The sequence below is a fragment of the Homo sapiens genome, chromosome 14, assembly GCF_000001405.40.
Source record: "Homo sapiens chromosome 14, GRCh38.p14 Primary Assembly".
In the NCBI taxonomy this organism is placed as follows: Eukaryota; Metazoa; Chordata; class Mammalia; order Primates; family Hominidae; genus Homo; species Homo sapiens.
The window spans coordinates 21,537,589-21,562,963 of NC_000014.9; the positions used below are offsets into that span (position 1 = coordinate 21,537,589).

The window sequence follows — 25,375 nt, forward strand, 5'->3', positions numbered from 1 at the left end:
TCCCTTTATAGATGAATCAAAAGGCCCAGTGAGGTTAAGTAACTTCTCCAAAGTTGCACAGCTGTGATGTATCAGACACAGGCCTGGAATCCAGGTGCATCTGACAGTAGCCTAACATTGTTTCCTCTATATCAGTAAAGACACAATATGCCACCAAACTGCTATCATGAAAAACAAAAGTGATTGATCTCAAGGAATCTCATTTAAAATAGCAATGGCTGGGCACGGTGGCTCACACCTGTAATCCCAGCACTTTGGGAGGCTAAGGTGGGCAGATCATGAGGTCAAGAGCTGGAGACCATCCTGGCCAACATGGTGAAACCCCATCTCTACTAAAACCACAAAAATTAGGCTGAGCACGGTGGCTCATGCTTGTAATCCCAGCACTTTGGGAGGCCAAGGCGGGCGGATCACCTGAGGTCAGGAGTTCGAGACCAGCCTGACCAACATGTTGAAACCCCGTCTCTACTAAAAATACAAAAATTAGCTGGGCGTAGTGGTGGGCACCTGTAATCCCAACTACTCCAAAGGCTGAGGCAGGAGAATCACTTGAACCTGGGAGGCAGCGGTGGCAGTGAGCCGAGATCGCGCCATTGCAGTCCAGCCTGTGTGACAGAGCAAGACTCTGTCTCAAAAATAAAATAAAATAAAATAAATAAAAAGGAATCCCTCCATCTCCACAATACACTGTTTGGCAACAACCAGGTTTCTCCTGCTTAGCCTGTACACTGAGGGTGATTCATTTATTTTTAACTTCTGGCTGTGATGTTCCTACCTATATTTGAGTACTACTGAGCTACTGGGCATAGAATATTCTGGATATGCCCTGTCTTCTGGCAATAATGCCTGGGCCCCTTTCTTTTAGCATGATTTCTGTTTTATTCTTCTGGCTGAGATAGCATCTGAAACACCATCAGTTGGAAAAGTGGGAAGTATTTTCCCCTTTTAGGATTAGTAATGTAAATCTCTGATGGCTTTATCTTCAGAGAAAAGCAAAAGAAAGCTCACTCACAGGTTTGGGTGCAAATTTGAAGGTTTTTGCATTTCTTCCCTTACACAATTTCAAGCTAGTTTGGCAATACCAAGAAAGGAAAAGGGAGACAGCAGATGGCAGGGGTGCTGCTAGTGATAATTGAAGCAGGTATCCACATTACATCTGAAGAGTTTTGGAAAATGCTCTCATCTTTGCTTTGGAGTTCACTGAATCTCCATTTTTTTTTCCAGTCCTTTGGTGTCAGGGCCCTGGGTGGCTTTCTCAAGTCTACCCTTGGAACTCTTGTTGCTGACATTATGTAATTCATCCTATTAACTCCCCTGTGGTAGACAGGTGCCATTATTTATTACTAGACCATTGTAGGAGAAATAGGGGTACTGAGCCTAGGAAAGCTTCTGATTCCTCCGTGGAATAGACTGAGTCCTGTCATCCTCTCACCCCACTGTTTCCATCATTTATTTCCTTCCAGGAAGGGAAAGGAGAGAAGGAAAATAGCTTTCTGCTTTTCTCAGGAGTCTGAAATCTCCAAGGGAGCAGATTTCAGGGTCCACATTTGTCTTTTTTCCTGAATCTTGGCTGTCTTCATCTTTTCCTATTTTTCCCCCTCCTTCTTGTGGGTCTTATTGTGAAAGGAAGGACTCTTTCCCCTCCTCTTCTTTCTTCCTCCCTACCCAGTTTACCATTTTTTTTCCTTTTACCTCTCCACTGTGGCCTCTTGACCTCCCCACAGAGTTACAAAAGTAAAATCCTTGAAGAGATGCTGCTGTGGGAATGTTAATGAGCCTTCCCCACAAAGGGGCAAAGACTTTACTTCACTGAGTTGGAAAAAAGCCCCTTTGAAAAGGGGTTTCTGTGTGTGGTGAAGTGGAGAGGGGAGGGGAAGGAGAGGGATAGAGGCAAAAGAAGGGAGGGAGAGAAAAAGAGCAAGAGAATGAAAGGAGACAGAGAAATAGAAGAGAGACACTCAAACTTCATACTAGAAGAGAATATTAAAAATAACAACACCACTTTTCTTTTTTCAATTTGTCATCTAATTTTTGGGAAATGTTCCTTGGTCTTTTGACCTTGTAAACTCAGGGCTTACATTCCCAAGAAGCTGAAGAGGGACTCGAGAGCATGGGAGATAATAAACGATAGGAAGAAGGGACTTATCTTGGCACCCCACCCCCAGTCTCTTCCCATATACGAGAGCCAGAGCTAGAGAGGCTCTAGGGTGGTTGGGAGGGGTGTGTAATATTCTGGATTGGGGGAACTGGTGGTGAAGATGGGCTCTTTTTTCTGGATTTGTGGTTGATTCTTATGATATTTTCTAATTTTATCAACATTTCTTATTTTGGCTTCCCTATTGGATGTTGGTCTAATAATTTATCTATCTTCAGGAATCGTTTACAGCATTGTTGAGGTGTTTTCGTCAAGGAGCCAATTTTCAAGCCAGGCCACTTGTGCATAATCTCTCTTTCCTTCATTTGTGTGCACAGGTTGCCTCTGGATTAGTTAAAATGAATGTTAAGGTATTTGGGTGTCAAAATTAAATCCTTAAAAAAATATATATATGTTTTTGCTTTTTATTTTTTTACCCTCATCTTCTTCTATGTGATGGTATCTTGTTGCTTTTTTTTTTTTTTTTTTTTTTTTTTTTTGAGACAGAGTTTCGCTCTTGTTGCCCAGGCTAGAGTGCAATGGAGAGATCTCGGCTCACTGCAACCTTTGCGTCCTGGGTTCAAGCAATTCTCCTGCCTCAGCTTCCAGAGTAGCTGGGATTACAGGCATGTGCCACCATGCCTGGCTGATTTTGTATTTTTAGTAGAGATGGGGTTTCTCCATGTTGGTCAGGCTGGTCTCGAACTCCTGACCTCAGGTGATCCACCCGCCTTGGCCTCCCAGAGTGCTAGGATTACAGGCGTGAGCCACTGCGCCCGGCTCCTGTTGCTTTTTAAAGAAAGCTGGGCCGGGTGCAGTGGCTCACACCTGTAATCCTAGCACTGTGGGAGGCCAAGGTGGGCGAATCACGAGGTCAGGAGATCGAGACCATCCCAGCCAACAAGGTGAAACCCCGTCTCTACTAAAAATACAAAAAATTGGCCAGGGGCAGTGGTTCACACCTGTAGTGCCAGCACTTTGGGAGGCTGAGGCGGGCGGATCACGAGGTCAGGAGTTCGAGACCAGCCTGGCCAATACAGTGAAACCCCATCTTTACTAAAAATACAAAAATTAGCTGGGTGTGGTGGCGCGTGACTGTAGTCCCAGCCACTTGGGAGGCTGAGGCAGAAGAATCGCTTGAACCCAGGAGGCAGAGGCTGCAGTGAGCCAAGATCACACCACTGCACTCCAGCCTGGGCGACAGAGCAAGACTCTGTCTCAAAAAAAAAAAAAAAAAAAAAAAAAAAAAAAGAAAAAAAAGAAAGCTGGCCAGGTGCAGTGGCTTATGTCTATAATCCCAGCACTTTGGGAGGCTGAGGCGGCTGGATCACTTGAGTTTAGGAGTTCGAGACCAGCCTGGGCAACATGGCAAAACTCTGTCACTACAAAAACATACTAAAAATTAGCCAGGTGTGGTGGCGCATGCCAGTGGTCCCAGCTACTCAGGAGGTTGAGGTGGGAGGATCACTTGAGCCCAGGAAGTCAAGGCTTCTATGAGCCATGCATGATCAGTGATCAAACTGGTACACTCCAGCCTGGGTGGAGTGAGAACCTGTCTCAGAAAATGAAATAGCCGGGCGCGGTGGCTCATGCCTGTAATCCCAGCACTTTGGGAGGCCGAGGTGGGTGGATCATGAGGTCAGGAGATCGAGACCATCCTGACTAATATGGTGAAACCCCGTCTGTACTAAAAATACAAAAAAATTATCTGGGCATGGTAGCGGGTGCCTGTAGTCCCAGCTACTTGGGAGGCTGGGGCAGGAGAATGGCATGAACCTGGGAGGCTGAGCTTGCTGTGAGCCGAGATCGCACCACTGCACTCCAGCCTCGGGGAGAGCGAGACTCTGTCTCAAAAAATAAATAAATAAATAAATAAATAAATAAATAAATAAATAAATAAAATAAAATAGTAAAATAAAATAAAAAATGTTAGTCATTGTATTTGACTCTCAGAGTTTCCTACATGCTGTTTTGTGGTATCAGCCCAACACCCCAGTTAAAACCAGGAACTGCGAGGAGCAAGGAGAAGGTGATTGGAGTGACATCTCAGGAAGAGAAAGATGAGGAGCCAGTCACGAATGCTTATTGCCAGAGCTCTCTACTCTCTTTTGGTCTAGTGACTCCCAAACACCACAATCACATGGGGAATTTATGGAGAATTCACATTCCTGGGCTCCCCCACAGATTTACTTAATCAGAATCTCTGGGGGTGGAGCCTAAGATATTTAAACAAGCTCTTGAATGATTCCTTTGCAGGGTTAAATTTGAAACAATTATGTTTGACTGGTTTTGGATACCCATGAACCAAGCGCTGCCTGTGGACGAAATACATAACATGCTTCACAAATGTGTGTACTGCCTTTAGCCAAATGTTTTGATGTTGTTAAGATGAATACACTTGGCCTGGCGCAGTGGCTCACGCTTGTAATCCTAGCACTCTGGGAGGCCAAGGCATGTGGATCACAAGGTCAGGAGTTCAAGATCAGCCTGGCCAAGATAGTGAAACCCCGTCTCTACTAAAAATACAAAAATTAGCTGGGCGTGGTGGCGGGCATCTGTAATCCCAGCTACTTGGGAGGCTGAGGCAGGAGAATTGCTTGAACCTGGGAGGCAGAGGTCGCAGTGAGCTGAGATCTCAACATTGCACTTCAGCCTGGGCAACAAGAGCAAAACTCTGCCTCAAAAAAATAAAAAGAAGAAGAAGAAGAAATTTTAAAAAATGCTTCTGACCGGGTGCAGTGGCTCACACCTGTAATCCTAGCACTTTGGGAGGTGTAGGCGGGCAGACCACCTGAGGTCAGGAGTTCGAGACCAGCCTGGCCAACATGGTGAAACTCCATCTCTACTAAAAATGCAAAGATTAGCTGGGCGTGTGGCGCATGCCCGTAATCCCAGCTACTTGGGAGGCTGAGGCAGGAGTATCACTTGAACCCAGGAGGCAGAGACTGCAGTGAGCCGAGATTGCGCCACTGCACTCCAGCCTGGGTGACAGAGTGAGACTCTGTCTCAAAAAAAAAAAAAAAAAAAAAAAAAGCTTCTAAGCTTCTAGGGGGTTTTTCCCTAAAAATAAAATGGTAGTCATGAGGGAGTCTGGAAAACTTTTTGCCATTTCATTCAATGCCTTTTCTCTCAGGAAAACACTCTGCTCTTATTCTTCTTTTTCTAGTTTGTTTTCAGAAATGGAGGTATTGTGGAGGCATTTTCTCTACCTTCTGAAGCGTTAGAATCCTATGATCTCATGACTTGATTTAATTGCAAGAGAAATGAACTAGGAATCTAGAAACACATGTACTGTTTCGGTTGATAATAATCATAGCTGTGGTGCATTCTGTGCACCCTGCCCTTTGGACACATAATCTCATTAAATCTTTAAAATAATTTTGCAAAGGGAGCATTATATAGTCCCCATCTCATGCATGGAGAACACCCCAATTTACAAATAAGGAAACTGAGGCTTAGAGAGGCCATATAGCTTAATAGCTCAAGGTCTTGTAGCTGATAAAGAGCAGGGTTGAAATTTGTGCAAGCAATGCCTGATTGGACAGCCTATGTTTTTTTCACACAATTTAATACTTTATTGCCATCTGGTGATTTCTGCTTCTGTTATGGGCCTTGCCTTCTGGCTGCAGACCTGGAGGATAACTTAAAATTACAAATTGCAAAGAAAATTTGAAGATCTACAAAGTCAACATTTATTAAAATTATGGATCTTATAATAACATATACTGTCACATGTTCTTTGTCTTGCTAGCATTAAGGAAGTGAGAGAATACAGAGTTAGGGTAAAGCGCCCTTTGCAAAACTTTCCTAAATAAGAAAGCCTTGGCAAACAACCTCTGGTCTTATTAGATGATTTCCGCCTAACCTCTTTCAGGTGGTAGTTGCCATGGTGTTTTAGGGGAAGAGGGAGGGAGTGAAGATCAAGGAGGGTCATTCAGACTGAGTGTTGTCTGGTGTTTCTTTTCAGAGTTCATTCAGCAGAAGATGGAAGGAATTTAAACGTTCAGAGGAGGAACGATAGACTTTATTCTTTTTGCTTTTCTTCATTTTTCCACTTCTCATTCCTCATGTTAAATATAAGGGAATTGGGAGAATGTAAAGAGGACAAGGTAGTCGGACAGGAAAGGGAGGTTGTGGGGGAAGGGCCAAGAGCCTAGCAGCCAGCGGAGAGAAGGATAGGGTGGTGGCAGGGAGTTGGCGGGGAGAGAGAGAGTGCTTTCGAGGGATAAATTATAAGGATATTTGTTAAAGTTCTGGGGATCCTAAGGTTGGCCATTAGAAAAAAAAATCCTCAGAGGGTGGGGATAAAGTAGAAACCATAGCATGAGGAGAGAGGACAATAAGAAAGGCAAAAAACCACAAAAAGATAAACAGAGCAATCAAAAAGGAAAACAAATCAATGATGGGAAAGAAAGAGTTAAATGGCAGAGGCAAGTCTTTGGAGGAACTGGAACATACGGGTTGAAGTATGACAGAGAATATGAATAATTGATAACTTATAATAGAAATGTGGTCAGAGCATCCAGGAGAAACATTTAAGAAGAGAAACAGGCCAGCCGGGCGTGGTGGCCCAGGCCTGTAACCCCAGCACTTTGAGAGCCCGAGGTGGGAGGATCCCTTCAGGTCAGGAGTTCGAGACCAGCCTGGCCAACATGGTGAAACCGCATCTCTACTATAAATACAAAAAAAAAAAATTAGCTGGGCATGGTGCACGCGCCTGTAATACCGGCTACTCTGGAGGCTGAGGCAGGAGAATCTGGAACCCGGGAGGCAGAGGTTGCAGTGAGCTGAGATCATGCCATTGCACTCTAGCCCGGGCAACAGAGAGAGACTCGGTCTCAAAAAAAAAAAAAAAAAAAAAAAAAGAAGAGGAACAGGGCGGGCGCGGTGGCTGACGCCTGTAATCCCAGCACTTTGGGAGGAGGAGCAAGGTAGATCACCTGAGTTGGGGAGTTTGAGACCAGCCTGAGAAACATGAAGAAACTCTGTCTCTACTAAAAATTTACAATTAGCCAGGTGTGGTGGCGCATGCCTGTAATCCCATAGCTACTCAGGAGGCTGAGGCAGGAGAATTGCTTGAACCTGGGAGGGGGAGGTTGCAGTGAGCCAAGATTGCGCCATCACACTCCAGCCTGGGCAACAAGAGCGAAACTCCATCTCAAAAAAAAAAAAACCACAAAAAAACAAACAAAAAAAATACCTTTTAGTGAGTTAATAATCTATTCACCATTTTAGAGATCATTCCAGGAAAGAGATACTGAGAAACTTCTTGATGATGTCTAATTAATTCCTAATTATATTTTAAGTGAAAATTATTTCAATATGTCCTTGGTTGAGTTTATTCAACAAATATTTTTTGGGCACCTCCTGTGTGCTAGGTACGTAGTATACGATGGGAAATAAAACAGATTCTGCCCTGTTGATTATTATACCACCATTTTGTAATTATTTGGACTTCATTCTTTCTTTTTTTTTTTTGAGACGGAGTCTCACTCTGTCACCCAGGCTGGAGTGCAGTGGCATGATCTCAGCTCACTGCAAGCTCCGCCTCTCAGATTCACGCCATTCTCCTGCCTCAGCCTCCCGAGTAGCTGGGACTACAGGCGCCCACCACCACACCTGGCTAATTTTTGTATTTTTAGTAGAGACGGGGTTTCACCTTGTTAGCCAGGATGGTCTCCATCTCCTGACCTCGTGATCCTCCCGCCTCAGCCTCCCAAAGTGCTGGGATTACAGGCATGAGCCACTGTGCCCGGCCTATTCTTTCTTTATTTTTGGGACAGGGTCTCACTCTGTTGCCTGGGCTGGAGTGCAGTGGTGCAGTCTTGGCTCCCTGCAACCTCTGCCTCTCAGATTCAAGGGATTCTTGTGCCTCAGCCTCCCAAGTAGCTGGGATTACAGAAACACACCACCATGACCCACTAATTTTTTGTAGAGACAGAATCTCACTATCTTGCTAGGGCTGATCTCAAACTCCTGGGGTCAAGCGATCCTCTCACCTGGGTGTTCCAAAGTGCTGGGATTACAGGCATGAGCCACCATGCTTGGCCCTGGACTTCATTCTTTTGGTGATATCTCTTTGTGATTTTTATTGGCACGGTCTGGTAAAGTTAAGTGTATTAGTCTGTTCTCATGCTGCTAATAACAACATACCTGGGACTGGGTTTTTTTTTTTTTTTTTTTTTTTTTTTTTTTGAGACGGAGTCTCGCTGTGTCGCCCAGGCTGGAGTGCAGTGGTGCGATCTTGGCTCACTGCAAGCTCTGCCTCTTGTGAGACCCATTCACTATCAAGAGAACAGCAGGGGAAAGACCCAGCCCCATAGTTCAGTCTTCTTTCATCAGGTCTCTCTCATAACACATGGTAATTATGGGAGCTACAAGATGAGGTTTGGATGGGGACACAGAGCCAAACCATATCATTCCACCCATGGTCCCTCTCAAATCTCTTATCTTCACATTTCAAAACCAGTCATGCCTTCCCAACTGTCCCCCAAAGTCTCAACTCATTTCAGCATTATTTCTAAAGTCTGTAGTCCAAAGTCTCATCTGAGACAAGGCAAGTCCCTTCTGTCTATGAGCCTGTAAAATCAAAGCAAGTTAATTACTTCCTAGATACAATGGAGGTACAGGCATTGGGTAAATACACCTATTCCAAATGGGAGAAATTGGTCAAAACAAAGGGGCTACAGGCCCCAGGTGAGTCCAAAATCCAGGGGGACAGTCAAATCTTAAAGCTCCAAAATGATCTCCTTTGACTCCATGTCTCACATCCAGGTCATGCTGATGCAAGAGGTGGGTTCCCATGGTCTTGGGCAGCTCTGCACCTGTAGCCTTGCATGGTACAGCCTCCCTCTTGGCTGCCTTCACAGGCTGGTGTTGAGTGTCTGCGGCTTTTCTTTTTTTTTGAAACAGAGTCTTGCTCTGTCTCCCAGGCTGGAGTGCAGTGGCGCCATCTAAGCTCACTGCAAGCTCCGCCTCCCAGGTTCATGGCATTCTCCTGTCTCAGCCTCCCGAGTAGCTGGGACTACAGGCACCCACCACCACGCCCGGCTAATTTTTTGTATTTTTAGTACAGATGGGGTTTCACCGTGTTAGCCAGGATGGTCTCGGTCTCCTGACCTCATGATCCGCCTGCCTCGGCCTCCCAAAGTGCTGGGATTACAGGCGTGAGCCATCACGCCCGGCCTGTGTCTGTGACTTTTCTAGGTGCATGGTGCAAGCTGTTGGTGGATCTACCATTATGGTGTCTGGAGGACGGTGGCCCTCTTTTCACAGCTCCACTAGGCAGTGCCCCAGTGAGGATTTTGTGTGGGGGCTTCCACCCCACATTTCCCTTCCACACTGCCCTAACAGAGGTTTCCCATGAGGAACCTGCCCCTACAGCAAACTTCTGCCTGGGCATCCAGGCATTTCCATATATCTTCTGAAATCCAGGCAGAGGCTCCCAAACCTCAATTGTTGACTTCTGTCCACTCGCAGGCTCAGAACCATGTGGAAGCTGCCAAGGCTTGGTGCTTGCACCCTCTGAAGCCACAGCCTGAGCTCTCCGTTGGCTTCTTTCAGCCATGGCTCCATGGCTGGACTGTCTGGGATGCAGGGCACCAAGTTCCTGGGCTACACAAGGTATGGGGACCCTGGGCCTAGCCCAGGAAACCACTTTTTTCTCCTAGGCCTTGGGGCCTGTGATGGGAGGGGCTGCCACACAGGTCTCTGACATGCCCTGGAGACATTTTCCTCATTGTCTTGGTGATTAACATTTGGCTCCTCATTACTTATGCAAATTTCTATAGGTGGCTTGAATTTCTCCTCAGAAAATGGGATTTTCTTTACTATTTATTGCATTGTCAGGCTGCAAATTATACAAATTTTTATGCTCTGTTTCCGTTTTGAAACAGAATGCCTTTTTTTCTTTTTTGAGATGGAGTTTTGCTCTTGTTGCCCAGGCTAGAGTGCAATGGCCTGATCTCTGCTCACTGCAACCTCTGCCTCCCGGGTTCAAGCGGTTCTCCTGCCTCAGCCTCCCAAGTAGCTGGTATTACAGGCATACACCATCATGCCTGGTTAATTAATTAATTAATTAATTATTTGAGATGGAGTCTCGCTCTATCGCCCAGGTTGGAGTGCAGTGGCGCGATCTCGGCTCACTGCAAGCTCCTCCTCCCAGGTTAACGCCATTCTCCTGCCTCAGACTCCGGATCAGCTGGGACTACAGGCACCTGCCACCAAGCCCAGCTAATTTTTTGTATTTTTAGTAGAGATGGGGTTTCACCATGTTAGCCAGGATGGTCTCCATCTCCCGACCTCATGGTCCGCCCACCTCGGCCTCCCAAAGTGCTGGGATTACAGGCGTGAGCCGCCGCGCCCGGCCACAGAATGCCTTTAACGGCACTCAAGTCACCTCTTGAATGCTTTGCTGCTTAGAAATTTCTTCCACCAGATACCATAAATTATCTCTCAAAGTCAAATTTCCACAAACCTCTAGGGCAGGGGCAAAATGCCACCAGTGTCTTTGGTAAAACATAACAAGAGTCACCTTTACTCCCATTCCTAACAAGTTTTTCATCTCCATCTGAGACCACCTCAGCCTGGATTTCATAGTCCATATCATTATCAGCATTTTGGTCAAAGCCATTCAACAAGTCTCTAGGAAGTTCCAAACTTTCCACATTTTCCTATCTTCTTCTGAGCCCTCCAAACTGTTTCAACTTCTGCCTGTTACCCAGTTCCAAAGTTGCTTCCACATTTTTGGGTATCTTTTCAGCAGCACCCCACTCCCAGCACCAATGTACTGTATTAGTCTTTTCTCAATGCACCAGGTCTCTCTCACAACCTATGGGAGTTATGGGAGCTACAAGATGAGATTTGGATGACACAGAGCTAAACCATATCAGTAAGCATTATTTTATGTATTTATTTATTTAATTTTGAGATGGAGTCTCACTCCGGCTATCACCCAGGCTGGAGTGCAGTGGCGTGATCTCGGCTCACTGCAACCTCCGCCTCCTGGGTTCAAGCAATTCTCCTGCCTCAGCCTCCCGAGTAGCTGGGATTACACGCACCTGGCATCACGCCTGGCTAGTTTTTGTATTTTTAGTATAGACAGGGTTCCACTGTTTTGACCAGGCTGCTCTTGAACTCCTGACCTTGTGATCCACCTGCTCAGCCTCCCGAAGTGTTGGGATGACAGGTGTGAGCCACCACGCCCAGCAGTAATCATTATTTTAATACCCCTTTATATGAAACTGAGGCACCTAGGTTTTTTTTTTTTGTTTTTTTTTTTGACAGAGTCTCACTCTGTTGCCCAGGCTGAAGTACAGTGGCATGATCTGGGCTCACTGCAACCTCTGCCTCCCACATTCAAGCAATTCTCCTGCCTCAGCCTCCGGAGTAGCTGGGATTAAGGTGCCTGCCACCACGCCCAGCTAATTTCTTGTATTTTTAGTAGAGACGGGGTTTCACCATGTTGGCCAGGCTGGTCTTGAACTCCTGACCTCATGATTTGCCTGCCTTGGCCTCCCAAAGTGCTGGGATTATAGGCGTTAGCCACCACACCTGGCTTTTTTTTTTTTTTTTTTTTTTTTTTTTTTTAAGATGGAGACTTGCTCTTGTTGCCCAGGCTGGAGTGCAATGCTGTGATTTTGGCTCACTGCAACCTCTGCCTCCTGGGTATAAATGATTCTCCTGCCTCAGCCTCCTGAGTAGCTGGGATTCTAGGTGCCCCTCACCACGCCTAGCTAATTTTTTTTTTTTTTTTTTTTTTTTAGACAGAGTCTTGCTCTGTCACCCAGGCTGGAGTGCAGTGGCATGATCTCGGCTCACTGCAAGCTTTGCCTCCCGGGTTCACACCATTCTCCTGCCTCAGCCTCCCAAGAAGCTGGGACTACAGGAGCCTGCCACCATGCCTGGCTATTTTTTTTGTATTTTTAGTAGAGACGGGGTTTCACCGTGTTAGCCAGGTCTCAATCTCCTGACCTCGTGATCCGCCTGCCTCAGCCTCCCATAGTGCTGGGATTACAGGCGTGAGCAGCCATGCCCGGCCTCACGCCTAGCTAATTTTTGTATTTTTAGTAGAGACGGGGTTTCACCATGTTGGCCAGGCTGGTCTCGAACTCCTGACCTCAGGTGATCCACCTGCCTAGGTCTCCCAGAGTGCTGGGATTACAGGTGTGAGCCACTGTGCCCAGCCCTAGGTTTGGTTTTTTTGTTTGTTTGTCTTCTTTTGAGACTCAGTCTTCCTCTGTCACCCAGGGTGCGGTGCGGTGCAGTGGCAAGATCTCGGCTCACCTCAATGTCCACCTTCTGGGTTCAAGCAAATCTCCTTCCTTAGCCTTCCGAGTAGCTGGGGATTACAGGCATGCACCACCACACCCAGCTAATTTTGTGTTTTTATTCTTTTATTTTTATTTTTATATTCTCCATGTTGGTCAGGTTGGTCTTGAACTCCCCCACCCTCCTCAACCTCCCAAAGTGATTACAAGTGTGAGCCACAGCACCTGGCCATGTGATGCTTTTTTTTTTTTTTTTTTTTTTTGAGATGGAGTCTCTCTCTGTTGCCCAGGGTAGAGTGCAGTGGTGCGATCTCGGCTCACTGCAACCTCCACCTCCCGGGTTCAAGAGATTCTCCTGCCTCAGCCTCCTGAGTAGCTGAGATTACAGGTGCACGCCACCACATCTGGCTAATTTTTGTATTTTTAGTAGAGACGGTGTTTCACCATGTTGGTCAGGCTGATCTCGAACTCCCGACCTCGTGATCCACCTGCCTCAGCCTCCCAAAGTGCTGGGATTTCAGGCGTGAGCCACTGTGCCCGGCCCATGTGATGCTTTTTAAGGGATCCCAATAGGCAAGCCAGGAAGGCAGCCAATGATATGTAGCAATTGCTGGAGGCAGTGACAGTTGATGGCAGAAGGTTCTTTTGGAAGCAGATGGGAAAGAGTACCTGATAGTGACTATGAACAGGGTGGCTGGGCCATGGGGAAGTTAGACTCAAAGTTTAGTATCACTGGATTTGGTAGAAAAAAGTGGGGATTGTAGGGGAAGGACTTAATGACTACATTATGTGTCTATGAGATTTAGGACTACATTTTCCTTATTTGATTCAATGACCTCTGCTCCCATCTTTTGGTCAAGGGATAAATATTACCAGGATGTGTGTGTGTGTGTTTCCAAAAAATTGGATGGAAGTCTTGAAGAAAAGAGAGGGGAAGGAGAGAGACCTGAGAGAAATAAGCCTGTTACTCAAGATAAATTATTCTTTCCATTACCTACCTCCGTCTCTCCCTTCCAAACATCTACTATCCTTCCATACACACCATTTGTAATCTGATTACAGGTGCCTGCCACCCCACCTGACTAATTTTTGTATTTTTAGTAGAGACAGGGTTTCACCATGTTGGCCAGGCTTATCTCGAACTCCTGCGTTCAAATGATTTCTCCACATTGGCCTCCCAAAGTGCTGGGGTTACAGGTGTGAGACACTGCACCTGGCCTCATCAGATTCTTGAAACAAACCTAGGGGTCGGGTGCAGTGTCTCACGCCTGTAATCCCAGCACTCTGAGAGGCCGAGGTGGGTGGATCATGAGGTCAGGAGTTGGAGACCAGCCTGACCAACATGGTGAAACCCCGTCTCTACTAAAAATACAAAAATTAGCCAGGTGTGGTGGCGCGAGCCTGTAATCCCAGCTACTCAGGAGGCTGAGGCAATAAGAATGAAACTCCATCACAAAAAAAACCTAAATAATAATAATAATCGATGCTGTTATTATCCAAATGAACAAAACCACTAAACTAGAATCGCTTGAACCCAAGAGGCAGAGGTTGTGGTGAGCCGAGATCATGCCATTCCACTCCAGTCTGGGCAACAAGAGTGAACTCTGTCTCAAAAAAAAAACAAAAAACAAACAAAACAAAAACCGGTAGGCTGGGCACAGTTGCTCACACTTATAATCCTAGCACTTTGGGAGGCTGAGGTGGGAGGATTGCGTGAGGCCTGGAATTCAAGACGAGGCTGGGCAAAATAGCAAGACCCCGTCTCTACAAAAAATACCTACTGGGCATCCACTCTATGCCAGCTGGGCATGATGCATGTGAATATAACTTCATATCCTTTCCACTCTCCAAGAATTTATATTGAAAGTCCACTTGACAAATAGAACTCATATGACATACATTTTCATTTTTAGTGGAAAAACCATCGAACTTGGGTTCTAGTCAAATTCTTTCTATTCCCAGTTAAATCCCCTTGGGGCCAGGCATGGTGGCTCATGCCTGTAATCCTAGCACTTTGAGAGGCCAAGGCAGGAGGACTGCTTGAACTCATAGTATGAGACCAGCCTGAGCAACATAGTGAGACCTCATCTCTACTCAAAAAAAAAAAAAAAAAAAAAAAAAAAGGCCAGGCACAGTGGCTCATGCCTGTAATTCCAGCACTATGGGAGGACAAAGCGGGCAGATCACTTGAGGCCAAGACCACCCTGGGTAACATGGTGAAACCCTATCTCTAGTAAAAATACAAAAATTAGCCCGGCATCAGGGTACACGCCTGTAATCCCAGCAGCTCGGGAGGCTGAGGCAGGAGAATCGCTTGAACCCGGGAAGTGGAGGTTGCAGTGAGCCAAGATCGTGCCACTGCACTCCAGCCTGGGCAATAGAATGAGACTCCTCAAAAATAAATAAATAAATAAATAAATAGATAAAAATTATCCAGGCATGGTGGCAGCCTGTAGTTTCAGGTACTTGGAAGGCTGAGATAGGAGGATCACTTGAGCCTGGCAGATTGAGTCTACAGTGAGCAGTGATCACACCACTGCACAATCCCCTTAGGAATTTTCCCAAGTGTTTACCTCTCAGACCTCAATCTGCATTGATGGAATTAGACCCAATGATTTTCTTACCCAGCTTTAACAGTTTGTGCTTGCATATGTGAACATCTGTATCAATCAACAAGATGCATCTATTGCAACAATTTCTACATAGGGTCCTACAATAATAAATCTATGATGGTAATTTTCTTTCTTTCTTTCTTTCTTTCTTTCTTTCTTTCTTTCTTTCTTTCTTTCTTTCTTTCTTTCTTTCTTTCCTTTCTTTCTTTCTCTCTTTCTTTCTTTCTTTCTTTCTTTCTTTCTTTCTTTCTTTCTTTCTTTCTCTCTCTCTCTTTCTTTCTTTTTCTGTCTTCTTTTTTTTTTTTTTTTGACAGTCTCACTCTGTTGCCCAGGCTGGAATGCAGTGGTACAATCTCTGCCTCCTGGGCTCAAGTGATCCTCCCACCTTAGCCTCTCAACTTCAGCCTCCTGAGTAGCTGGGACCACAGGTGCATGCCACTATGCCCAGCTAATTTTTGTATTTTTTGTAGGGACAGGGTTTTGCCATATTGGCCAGGCTGGTCTTGCACTCCTGGACTTAAGTGGTCTGCCCACCTCAGCCTCCCAAAGTGTGATTACAGGTGTGAGCCACCTCACATGGCCCCTGATGGTCATTTCTAAACCATTACTTAAGACGAGGTCTAGAGTCAAAGTCGAAAAATTTCTGAGGAAGGAATGCCCAAGAGACTGCTTTTGCTCTGGTATTAGAACAAGTTCTTGTCATTTATTTGGCGAATATTGGAGGAAGTAGTTGGCCTGCATTTATTTATGCGGTAGGTAGAATAAAACTATGCACTTCTCAATATAGGATCACACTCATGCTTATATAGAGAGGGACAGGAGGACAGAGAGACTCAACCTGGGCTAACTGCATGGAATGCCAGAGTGAGATTCCGTTGCATTCTTTACATTGCTGTTGGGGAATCCTAATTATAGTTTAATTTGCATATTCAAATTTAACTTGTATTAAATTAAATTAAAATATGAAAGTCCATCAACAAACCTCAGGTCTGCTAACCTCTGTGACCTCCAGAAGTAAGTCCAATCAAAAACCAAAGCAGCTTAGACATTCATGATTCTGTATCTCCAGATGGCAGAATCACCTCAGGATTTAGCCCAGGCCATAGAAATCCTTTCCTTCTTTTGGGACATAAGCTCCAAGGTAGATCTTCTAATTTGTTACATTTTCAACAAACATTTGGCAAATGCATTTGAGATTTCACTTACCAGGCCTGCATTTAGGGGGAAAGTAGAGTGAACGAGTAGACATTTCTCAACATAGAATCACATTCATGCTCATATTAAGAGAGAGATGAGAGAACTGGGATGCTGGGGTTACAAAGGCAAATAAGACACAGGCCCTGCTTCTCCCTGGGAGGAGGGGCAATTTCGAAAAGATAAAGACGATACAACATGAGAAACTGTCGTAAAGGTATACATAAAGTTCCCTGGGAAGAAGGGAGACTTGAATAATACTACCTGAGTGAACTGAAGAGATTTTCAGAGAGGAGGTCACATGTAAGATGGATGTTATGCACAATATGGTTTAGATGAATAAAGAAATGGTGAGTCCAGTCACGGTGGCTCACGCCTGTAATCCCAGCACTTTGGGAGGCCGAGGCGGGAGGATCACTTGAGCCTATGGGTTTGAGACCAGCCTGGGCAACATAGCAAGGCCCTGTCTCTACAAAAAATACAAAAATTAGCCAGGTGTGGTGGCAGCACATGCCTGTAGTTCCAGCTGTTCAGGAGGCTGAGGTGGGAGAATTCCTTGATCCCAAGAGGTTGAGGCTGCAGTGAGCTATGATCAGGCCACTGCATTTCAGCCTGGGAGATAGAGCAAGACTCTGTCTCAAAAAAAAAAAAAAAAAAAAAAAAAGAAGAAGAAAAGAAAAAAGAGTAGAAATGTATAGGGAAAGAAAATTTGAAAAGAAGTTTGGGGTGAGTGTAAAAGACCATTTATGCTATATTAACAAATTGAATATTATGAGAAGACACTGGAAGTTTTAAAACAAAGAATATAGCTGTATTTTATTATTATTTTAATAATTTTATTTATTTATTTATTTTTTGAGACCATGTCTCACTCCATCACCCAGGCTGGAGTGCAGTGGCACAATCTTGGCTCACTGCAACCTCTGCCTCCTGGGTTCACGTGATTCTCCTGCCTCAGCCTCCTGAGTAGCTGGGATTACAGGTGCCTGCCACCATGCCTGGCTAATTTTTTGTATTTGTAGTAGAGACGGAGTTTCACCACATTGGCCAGGCTGGTCCTGAATTCCCGGCTTCAAGTGATCCACCAGCCTTGGCCTCCCAAAGTACTGGGATTATAGGCATGAGCCACTGCGCCTGGCATAGAGCTATATTTTAGAAGGTCAACCATTGAAAGTGTGGAAAATGATTTAAAATTGGAAAGAGACTGAATGGACAGAAGAGATACCAGAAATCCAGGCAAGAGATGAAGAGTGAGGCTGGCCACGGTGGATCATGCCTGTAATCCCAGCACTTTATTTATTTATTTATTTATTTATTTATTTATTTATTTATTTATATATATTTTTTGAGATGGAGTTTCACTCTTGTTGCCCAGGCTGGACTGCAATGGCACGATCTCGGCTCACCGCAACCTCCACCTCCCAGGTTCAAGCGATTCTCCTGCCTCAGCCTCCCTAGTAGCTGGGATTACAGGAATGCGCCACCATGCCCAGATAATTTTTTGTATTTTTAGTAGAGACAGGGTTTCTCCATGTTGGTCAGGCTGGTCTCGAACTCCCGACCTCAGGTGATCCGCCCACCTCGGCCTCCCAAAGTGCTGGGATTACAGGTGTGAGCCACCGCGCCTGGCCATTTTTATATTTTTTATAAAATAGAGACAGGGTCTCACTATGTTGCCCAGGCTGGCCTTGAACGCCTGGGCTCGAGTGATCCTTCCACCTCAGTCTCCCAAAGCATTAGGATTACAGGGATTACAGGTGCTCCCCATCATGCCCAGCTAATCCAGGCTGGTCTTGAACTCCTGACCTCAGGTAATCCACCTGCCTTGGCCTCCCAAAGTGCTGGGATTACACGCATGAGCCACTGCACCCGGCCACCAAGTTCACAACATTTGATAGTTAATATTATTACACTGTTCTGCATAGAGAACAAGAGGTGAGTGCTATAAGCAATGCAGATCAACTGCATACAAGTTCAGAGGAAGGAAAGGCCATTTCCAATTGGAGGGCAGGAGGGTGAGCAGATTAAATTAGAATAATGAAGAAGTCACTTAAATTGGGGATTTCAAAAGAACATAAGGGCCGCGCACGGGTGCCTGTAATACCAGCACTTTGGGAGGCTGAGCGGGGTGGATCACGAGGTCAGGAGATTGAGACCATCCTGGCCAACATGGTGAAACCCCGTCTCTACTAAAAATATAAAAATTAGCTGGGCGTGGTGGCACACACCTGTAATCCCAGCTACTCAGGAGGCTGAGAAAGGAGAATTGCTTGAACCTGAGAGGTGGAGGTTGCGGTGAGCCAAGATCGTGCCACTGCACTCCAGCCATGTGAGAGAGTGAGACTTTGTCTCAAAAAAAAAAAAAAAAAAAGAAAAAAGAAAAAAAAAAGTAAGATGAACATTTAGACGATAAAACTTAGAGAAGGCTTAGTGATCCGGAAGAAAGAAAGAAGCTTGTCACCTATCATTTGTAGAAGTGACAAGCAATAAAAATGTAAGCAAATAAATAACTACAGAATGAATGATAATTAAACAGGGTAGTGGGTCAGAAAGTGAAGAGAAAGAGTGGGGCTGGTGGTTAAGGAATTAGAGGGAAGACTTGATTCCATCTCAAGGTAGAAAGCTGTTCATATGCAGATCAACTGCTATCTGTGAATGGATACCCGAATATTGTCACAAACAAACTGAAATGCAAATACTCTTAGAAACTGGGGTATTAGTAATGCAAGTATGAAAAACATCTGATTTAAGCAGAACAACAACAACAAAACACCCTCATCATTCTTTGAATGACTTAATCTGTGAATGAAAACATTCACATCCTCATGATTTTGATGACAGAATAGATGATTTTTCTTTGTGCTGAGTTTGTTATCTCAAGCTGGAACTAAGTAAGGCTAGTCAAGGCCATCTGATTCTTATTGCTCATTCATTCATTCATTCATTCATTCATTCAACCAATATTTTACTGAGAGCTTGCTGTATGCGGAATTATGCTTTGCCTGGGGAATGCAGTGGAGGTTTTTTCCTTGGAGTTCTCTTACTCCAAAGGGCTTTAACCTTGGACAGGTTCTGACACTTGTCTGCTGACGTTTTTGTTTTGTTTTGTTTTGTTTTGTTGAGACAGGGTCTTGCTCTGTTGCCCAGGCTGGCAAAAAGATAACGGCTCACTGTGGCCTTGAACTCCTGGGCTAAGGCGATCCTCCCACTGCAGCCTTCAGAGTAGCTGGGACTATAGGTGTGAGCCACCATGCCCAGCTAATTAAAACAATTTTTTTTTTTTTGTGGAGATGGGATCTCCCTCTATTGCCCAGGTTGGTCTCAAACTCCTAGGCTCAAGTGATCCTCCTGCCTCATCCTCCCAAAATGTCGGGATTACAGGTGTGAGCCATGGTGCCTAGCCTGTTGATTTTTTTTTGGATAAGAGATAGAGAGGACCTGGTAATATACAAGGCCCAGAGTGTGTCCTAAGATGATCTATGGGGAGAGAACAGAGTATCCCTGACTGAAGAGTTTTGGAAACTATTTTAATGTTCCCCAATTTTATTTGAACTAAAAAACATTGTCTGCCTTTCACATTCCTTCGTGCACTCCACCTCACCACTGCTCCCCCGGCACCTGTTGGCCTCTTTTGCTATCCAAATTTACCAAATAAATCTTCCCCGCCTTTCTACCCATCTGCTGTTCTTCACAGCTTGTCTCTGGGCTCAGCCCCAAGCCTGGAGGGGCAGTAAATGGATTCAGAGTTGCTGCTCAAACATGGATTCCCATGGAAACCAAACGACTAAGAAAACAAATAGGGAGGAAGAGGCAGCCACTGCCTGACCTCTTACCCTCCCCCTCCAAATTCTTTTCGCTTTTCAGCATGAAAGCAAGCGCTTATTTGTATAACTAGTAGAAGGACATAACCTGACCCCTCCCCCCACCCCCAAATTCTTTAAGAATCTCTCGTTCGACAATGAGTAAATGAAAGACAGTGGGACATCGCCACCTGGTGGTAGAAATGCCAAAATACTTAAGAAGAGAGAACTCAATTAACAAGTGAAAGCCTGCGATACAGGCCAGTAAGTATACAAAGAAGTAACATTCAGATACAAAAATAAGATACAAAGAAGTAACATTCAGAAGCCACTCCTAGGAAACTGTTTAATTGTGATGCAGTTAGTACTTGTTCCTTCTCACATATACAGATTTAAATATCATCTTTATGTTGGTGAATTTTTATTTTTATTTTTTAAAAATTTTATTTATTTATGTATTTATTTTTGCGACGGAGTCTCACCCTGTCGCCCAGGCTGGAACGCAGTGGCGCAATCTCGGCTCACTACAACCTCCGCTTCCTGGGTTCAAGCGATTCTCATGTCTCAGCCTCCCGCGTAGTTGGGGATTACAGGCACCTGCATTATGCCCGGCTAATTTTTGTAGAGACAGGGTTTCACCATGTTGGCCAGGCTGGTCTTGAATTACTGACCTCAGGTGCCTCAGCCTCCCAAAGTGCTGGGATTACAGGCGCGAGCCACCACGCCCGGCCGAATTTTTTTTTTTTTTTTTTTGCATCCAATTCAAATATGGGAACATGAGGTTTAGTCTTATCTCTCCCAACTCCATACCAGATTTTTTTTTTGTTTGTCTGTTTGAGACGGAATCTCACTCTGTCGCCCAGGCTGGAGTGCAGTGATGCAATCTCAGCTCACTGCAACCCCCACCTCCCGGGTTCAAGCGATTCTCTTGCCTAAGCCTCCCGAGTAACTGGGACTAATACACGCACACGCCACCATGCCCAGCTAACTTTTGGATTTTTAGTAGAGATGGGGTTTCACCATGTTGAGCAGGCTGGTCTCGAACTCCTGACCTCAGATGATCCACCCGCCTCGGCCTCCCAAAGTGCTGGGATTACAGGTGTGAGTCACTGTGCCCAGCCATATTAGATATTTTTTATCTGAACGTCATGCTGTTGCTACAGATTCAGTGGAGTTGGACAGTACTTTTCTCTTCCCGTCCTTTCCCTTCCATAGGGTAGCATTTGCTGGCTTACAAAGGAAAAGCAGAAGCTTTGCTCCACTATCTTGTCTTGTCTTGTCTTGTCTCTTTTCTTTTTCTTTTTTTTTTCGTCTTCTGTTCAGATAGTCTCACTCTGTCACCCAGGCTAGAGTGCAGCCGTGTTATCATGGATGGGTTACTGCAGCCTCTAATTACCTGGCTTGAGCAATCCTCCCACCTCAGCCTGCTGAGTAGCTGGGACTACAAGTGCACGCCACCATACCCGGCTAATTTTACTTTTTTTTTCTTTGAGACAGAGTCTCACTCTGTCACTGAGGCTGGAGTGCAGTGGCATGATCTCGGCTCATTGCAACCGCTGCCTCCTGGGTTCAAGAGATTCTCCTGTCTCAGCCTCCAGAGTAGCTGAGATTACAGGTGCGCACCATGGCACCTGGCTAATTTTTGTATTTTTAGTAGAGATGGGGTTTCACCATGTTGGTCAGGCTGGTCTTGAACTCCTGACGTCATGTGATCCACCCGCCTCGGCCTCCCAAGGTGTTGGGATTACAGGTGTGGGCCACTGTGCCCGGCCTTTCTTTTTTTAAAGACAGGTTGCAAGGTGGTGGCTCATGCCTGTAATCCCAGCACTTTCGGAGGCCGAGGCGGGGGTATTGCTTGAGCTCAGGAGTTCGAGACCAGCCTGGCCAATGTGGCAAAACCCCATCCTATGAAAAAATACAAAAATTAGCCGGGCATGGTGGCAGGCGCCTGTAATCCCAGCTATTCTGGTGGCTGAGTCAGGAGAATAGCTTGAACCCAGGAGGCAGAGGTTGCAGTGAGAGGAGATCAAGCCACTGCCCTCCAGCCTGGGTGACAAAGTGAGACTGTCTCAAAAAACAAAAACAAAATTATAAAAAAGAGAAGAAGCTCAACAACTGATATGTTTTTCCCGGCATGAATATTTTTATATTGAGGAAAAATAAATCACTTAAAATTTTTTTAAAAGAAAGAGGGTATACTAAAAATACAAAAATTAGCTGGGTGTGATGGCTCTCTCCTGTAGTCTCGGCTACTCAGGAGGCTGAGGTGGGAGGACTGCTTGAGCCTGGGAGGTGGAGGCTGCAGCCCACAACATTCCAGCCTGGGTGAGAAGGAAGACCCTGTCTAAAGAAAACAAAAACAAACAAACAAACAAAAATGAGTGGAATTGGCCGGGCACGGTGGCTCATGTCTGTAATCCCAGCACTTTGGGAGGCTGAGGCAGGCGGATCATGAGGTCAGGAGATCGAGACCATCCTGGCTAACACAGTGAAACCCTGTCTCTACTAAAAATACAAAAAAATTAGCCGGGTGTGGTGGTGGGTGCTTGTAGTCCCAGCTACTCGGGAGGCTGAGGCAGGAGAATGGTGTGAACCCGGGAGGCGGAGCTTGCAGTGAGCCGAGATTGTGCCACTGCACTCCAGCCTGGGCGACAGGGCGAGACTCCGTCTCAAAACAAAAACAAAAACAAACAAACATAAAAAGAGTGGAATTGTTCCCTTTAACCCTCAATTCATATGTTGAAGCCCTAACCTCCAATGTGATTGTATTTGAAGATAGACCTTTAAGGAGGTAATTAAAGTTAAATGATGTCATGAGGGTAGGGCCTTAATCCAATTTGATTGGTGTTTCTTTTATTTGTTTGTTTGAGACAGAGTCTTGCTCTGTTGCCCAGGCTGGAGTGCAGTGGCACAATCTCTGCTCACTGGGTTTGTGTGATTCTCCTGCCTCAGCCTACTGAGTAGCTGGAACTACAGGCATACACCGCCACACCCAGCTAATTTTTGTATTTTTAGTAGAGACGGGGTCTCTCCATGTTGGTCAAGCTGGTCTCGAACTCCTGACCTCAGGTGGTCCGCCTGCCTCAGCCTTCCAAAGTGCTGGGATTACAGGCGTGAGCCACTGTGCCCAGCCTGATTAGCGTTTGTATTTATTTTTATTTTTTGTTATTTTTTAAAATAATTTTTTTTTAAATTTTTGAGACTGAGTCTGGCCGTTGTCGCCCAGGCTGGAGTGCAATGGCGTGATCTCAGCTCACTGCAACCTCAGCCTCCTGGGCTCAAGCAATTGTCCTGTCTCAGCCTCCCGAATAGCTGGGATTACAGGCATGGGCCACCACGCCCGGCTAATTTTTGTATTTTTTAGTAGAGACGGGGTTTCACCATGTTGGCCAGGCTGGCCTCCAACTCCTGACCTCGTGATCTGCCCGCCTCGGCCTCCCGAAGTGCTGAGATTACAGGTGTGAGTGACCGCACCCGATGTGGTTAGCATTTTTATAAGAAGAGAAGAAACACCAGGAATATGTGGTCACAAAGGAAAGGCCACGTGAGGGCACAAGGAGAAGCTACCATCTGCAAACTGTGACAAGAGGCCTCAGGTTGGTTTCCAATCCTGCTAGCACATTGCTCTTAGCCTTCCAGCCTGCAGAACTCTGAGAAAATAAGTTTCTGTTGTTTAAGTCACCCTGTCTGTGATATTTTGTTATAGCAGACTAATACCTGGCCTTCCATACCATAAGCTCCTTTCCCTATATAATTTGCAATAAACAGAGGCCTGGAGAATGGAGACAAAGCTATTCTGGAGACCCAGGGGTCTAGGCTACCTTGCCTTTGCCTCATTTCACACTTCAGGCTATATGAGCTCTATCCCCAGGAAAATTCAGCTCTTGCTATTTGGATTCATTAAGTGGAGAATAGAATGAGATCTGTTTTGGGTATCAGGCCAGAAATTATCAGCATCTTGGAACGTCAGAAAATAATGGATCAGTACCCAAGTTACTTAGTCTCACCCCATACAGTCTTCCACCACCTACAGCTGGGTACTATAACAACACATCCTAAGAGAAAAGAGGCTCAGAGACTTCTTTAGCCTAAGAACCTCTAGGACCTAACTCCCCAGAAGCCTTAGCGTCAGGTCAAGTAAAGGAGCACACACAGGATAGAGAGTGGAAATGTTTCTGTTTTTTTTTGTTTTTTTGAGAGGGAGTCTCGCTCTGTCACCCAGGCTGGAGTGCAATGGCATGATCTTGGCTCACTGCAACCTCTGCCTCCTGGGTTCAAGCGATTCTCCTGTCTCAGCCCCCGAGTAGCCGGGACTATAGGCACACACCACAACGCCTGGTTAATTTTTTGTATTTTTAGTAAAGATGAGGTTTCACCATATTGGCCAGGCTGGTCTTGAACTCCTGACCTCAGGTGATCTGCCCGCCTCGGCCTCCCAAACTGTTGGGATTACAGGCGTGAACCACCGTGCAGCCGGGAAGTGTTTCTTTCACTGGAGGGGCAGAGGTAGTTGTGATGACCCTACTGTGGCCCTGGGGAGAAGAGTGAGAGGATAACAGTGAACAAGGGGCTAAGTGAAGTTCTTAGAAGTAGGGTGGAATGAGTGTGAGAGAAAGGGGGAAGCTAGTGAGGCTTTTCTCTTATGCTGATGTAAAGTAGGTTTCCAATAGAAGAAATTTATAAGTAATACAGAGGATAGGATGATTAATCTAAATTGGACCAGAGCAGAGTTTTGTTGGCCCCAGAGGTTTTAAGATTTTGTTTAGGTAAGATTTGTGTTTAGTCCCAGCAATTTGGGATGCTGAGGTGGGAGAATCACCTGAGCCCATGAAGTCGAGGCTGTAGTGAGCTGTGATTGTGCCGCCGCACTCCTGCTTGGGCGACAGAGCGAGACCCTGTCTCAAAAACAAACAAACAACAAAAAAGAAAAGATAAATAAACCTAGATTCTTATTGCACACCATATGCGAAAGTAAATTTCAGATGGAATAAAGATATAAATGAGCATAACAAAACTATAAAAACGTTAGAATCAGGCCAGGCATGGTGGCTCATGCCTGTAATCCCAGCACTTTGGGAAGCCGAGGTGGGAGGATCACCTAAGGTCAGGAGTTCAAGACTAGCCTGACCAACATGACAAAACCCCATCTCTACTAAAAATACAAAATTAGCCGGGTGTGGTGACGGGTGCCTGTAATCCCAGCTACTCGGGAGGCTGAGGCAGGAGAATCGCTTGAACCCGGGAGACGGAGGTGGCAGTGAGCCGAGATGGCGCATTGCACACCAGCCTGGGCAACAAGAGCGAAACTCCGTCTCAAAACAAAACAAAACAAACAAACGAACAAAAACGGTTAGAAGAATATTTAGG

The 25,375-nt window shown here is 45.6% G+C and overlaps 7 annotated features.

Annotated features, from left to right (window-relative positions):
• Positions 4,309 to 4,810: an enhancer, noted in NCBI's record as "H3K27ac hESC enhancer chr14:22010043-22010544 (GRCh37/hg19 assembly coordinates)". NCBI's record gives its function as "activates a minimal SCP1, AML or CMV promoter by ChIP-STARR-seq in primed H9 embryonic stem cells {active_cell/tissue: H9 hESC(primed)}" and the evidence as "EXISTENCE:reporter gene assay evidence [ECO:0000049][PMID:30033119]".
• Positions 4,361 to 4,561: a silencer, noted in NCBI's record as "peak2116 fragment used in MPRA reporter construct". NCBI's record gives its function as "represses an SCP1 promoter by STARR-seq MPRAs in K562 erythroleukemia cells {active_cell/tissue: K562}" and the evidence as "EXISTENCE:reporter gene assay evidence [ECO:0000049][PMID:32103011]".
• Positions 4,811 to 5,310: an enhancer, noted in NCBI's record as "H3K27ac hESC enhancer chr14:22010545-22011044 (GRCh37/hg19 assembly coordinates)". NCBI's record gives its function as "activates a minimal SCP1, AML or CMV promoter by ChIP-STARR-seq in primed H9 embryonic stem cells {active_cell/tissue: H9 hESC(primed)}" and the evidence as "EXISTENCE:reporter gene assay evidence [ECO:0000049][PMID:30033119]".
• Positions 8,400 to 8,600: a silencer, noted in NCBI's record as "peak2117 fragment used in MPRA reporter construct". NCBI's record gives its function as "represses an SCP1 promoter by STARR-seq MPRAs in K562 erythroleukemia cells {active_cell/tissue: K562}" and the evidence as "EXISTENCE:reporter gene assay evidence [ECO:0000049][PMID:32103011]".
• Positions 19,964 to 20,507: an enhancer, noted in NCBI's record as "OCT4-NANOG-H3K27ac-H3K4me1 hESC enhancer chr14:22025683-22026226 (GRCh37/hg19 assembly coordinates)". NCBI's record gives its function as "activates a minimal SCP1, AML or CMV promoter by ChIP-STARR-seq in naive H9 embryonic stem cells {active_cell/tissue: H9 hESC(naive)}" and the evidence as "EXISTENCE:reporter gene assay evidence [ECO:0000049][PMID:30033119]".
• Positions 20,508 to 21,051: an enhancer, noted in NCBI's record as "H3K27ac-H3K4me1 hESC enhancer chr14:22026227-22026770 (GRCh37/hg19 assembly coordinates)". NCBI's record gives its function as "activates a minimal SCP1, AML or CMV promoter by ChIP-STARR-seq in naive H9 embryonic stem cells {active_cell/tissue: H9 hESC(naive)}" and the evidence as "EXISTENCE:reporter gene assay evidence [ECO:0000049][PMID:30033119]".
• Positions 21,070 to 21,256: a silencer, noted in NCBI's record as "fragment chr14:22026789-22026975 (GRCh37/hg19 assembly coordinates)". NCBI's record gives its function as "represses an EF-1alpha promoter that drives an FKBP-Casp9 reporter gene in an ReSE screen in HepG2 liver carcinoma cells {active_cell/tissue: HepG2}" and the evidence as "EXISTENCE:reporter gene assay evidence [ECO:0000049][PMID:32094911]".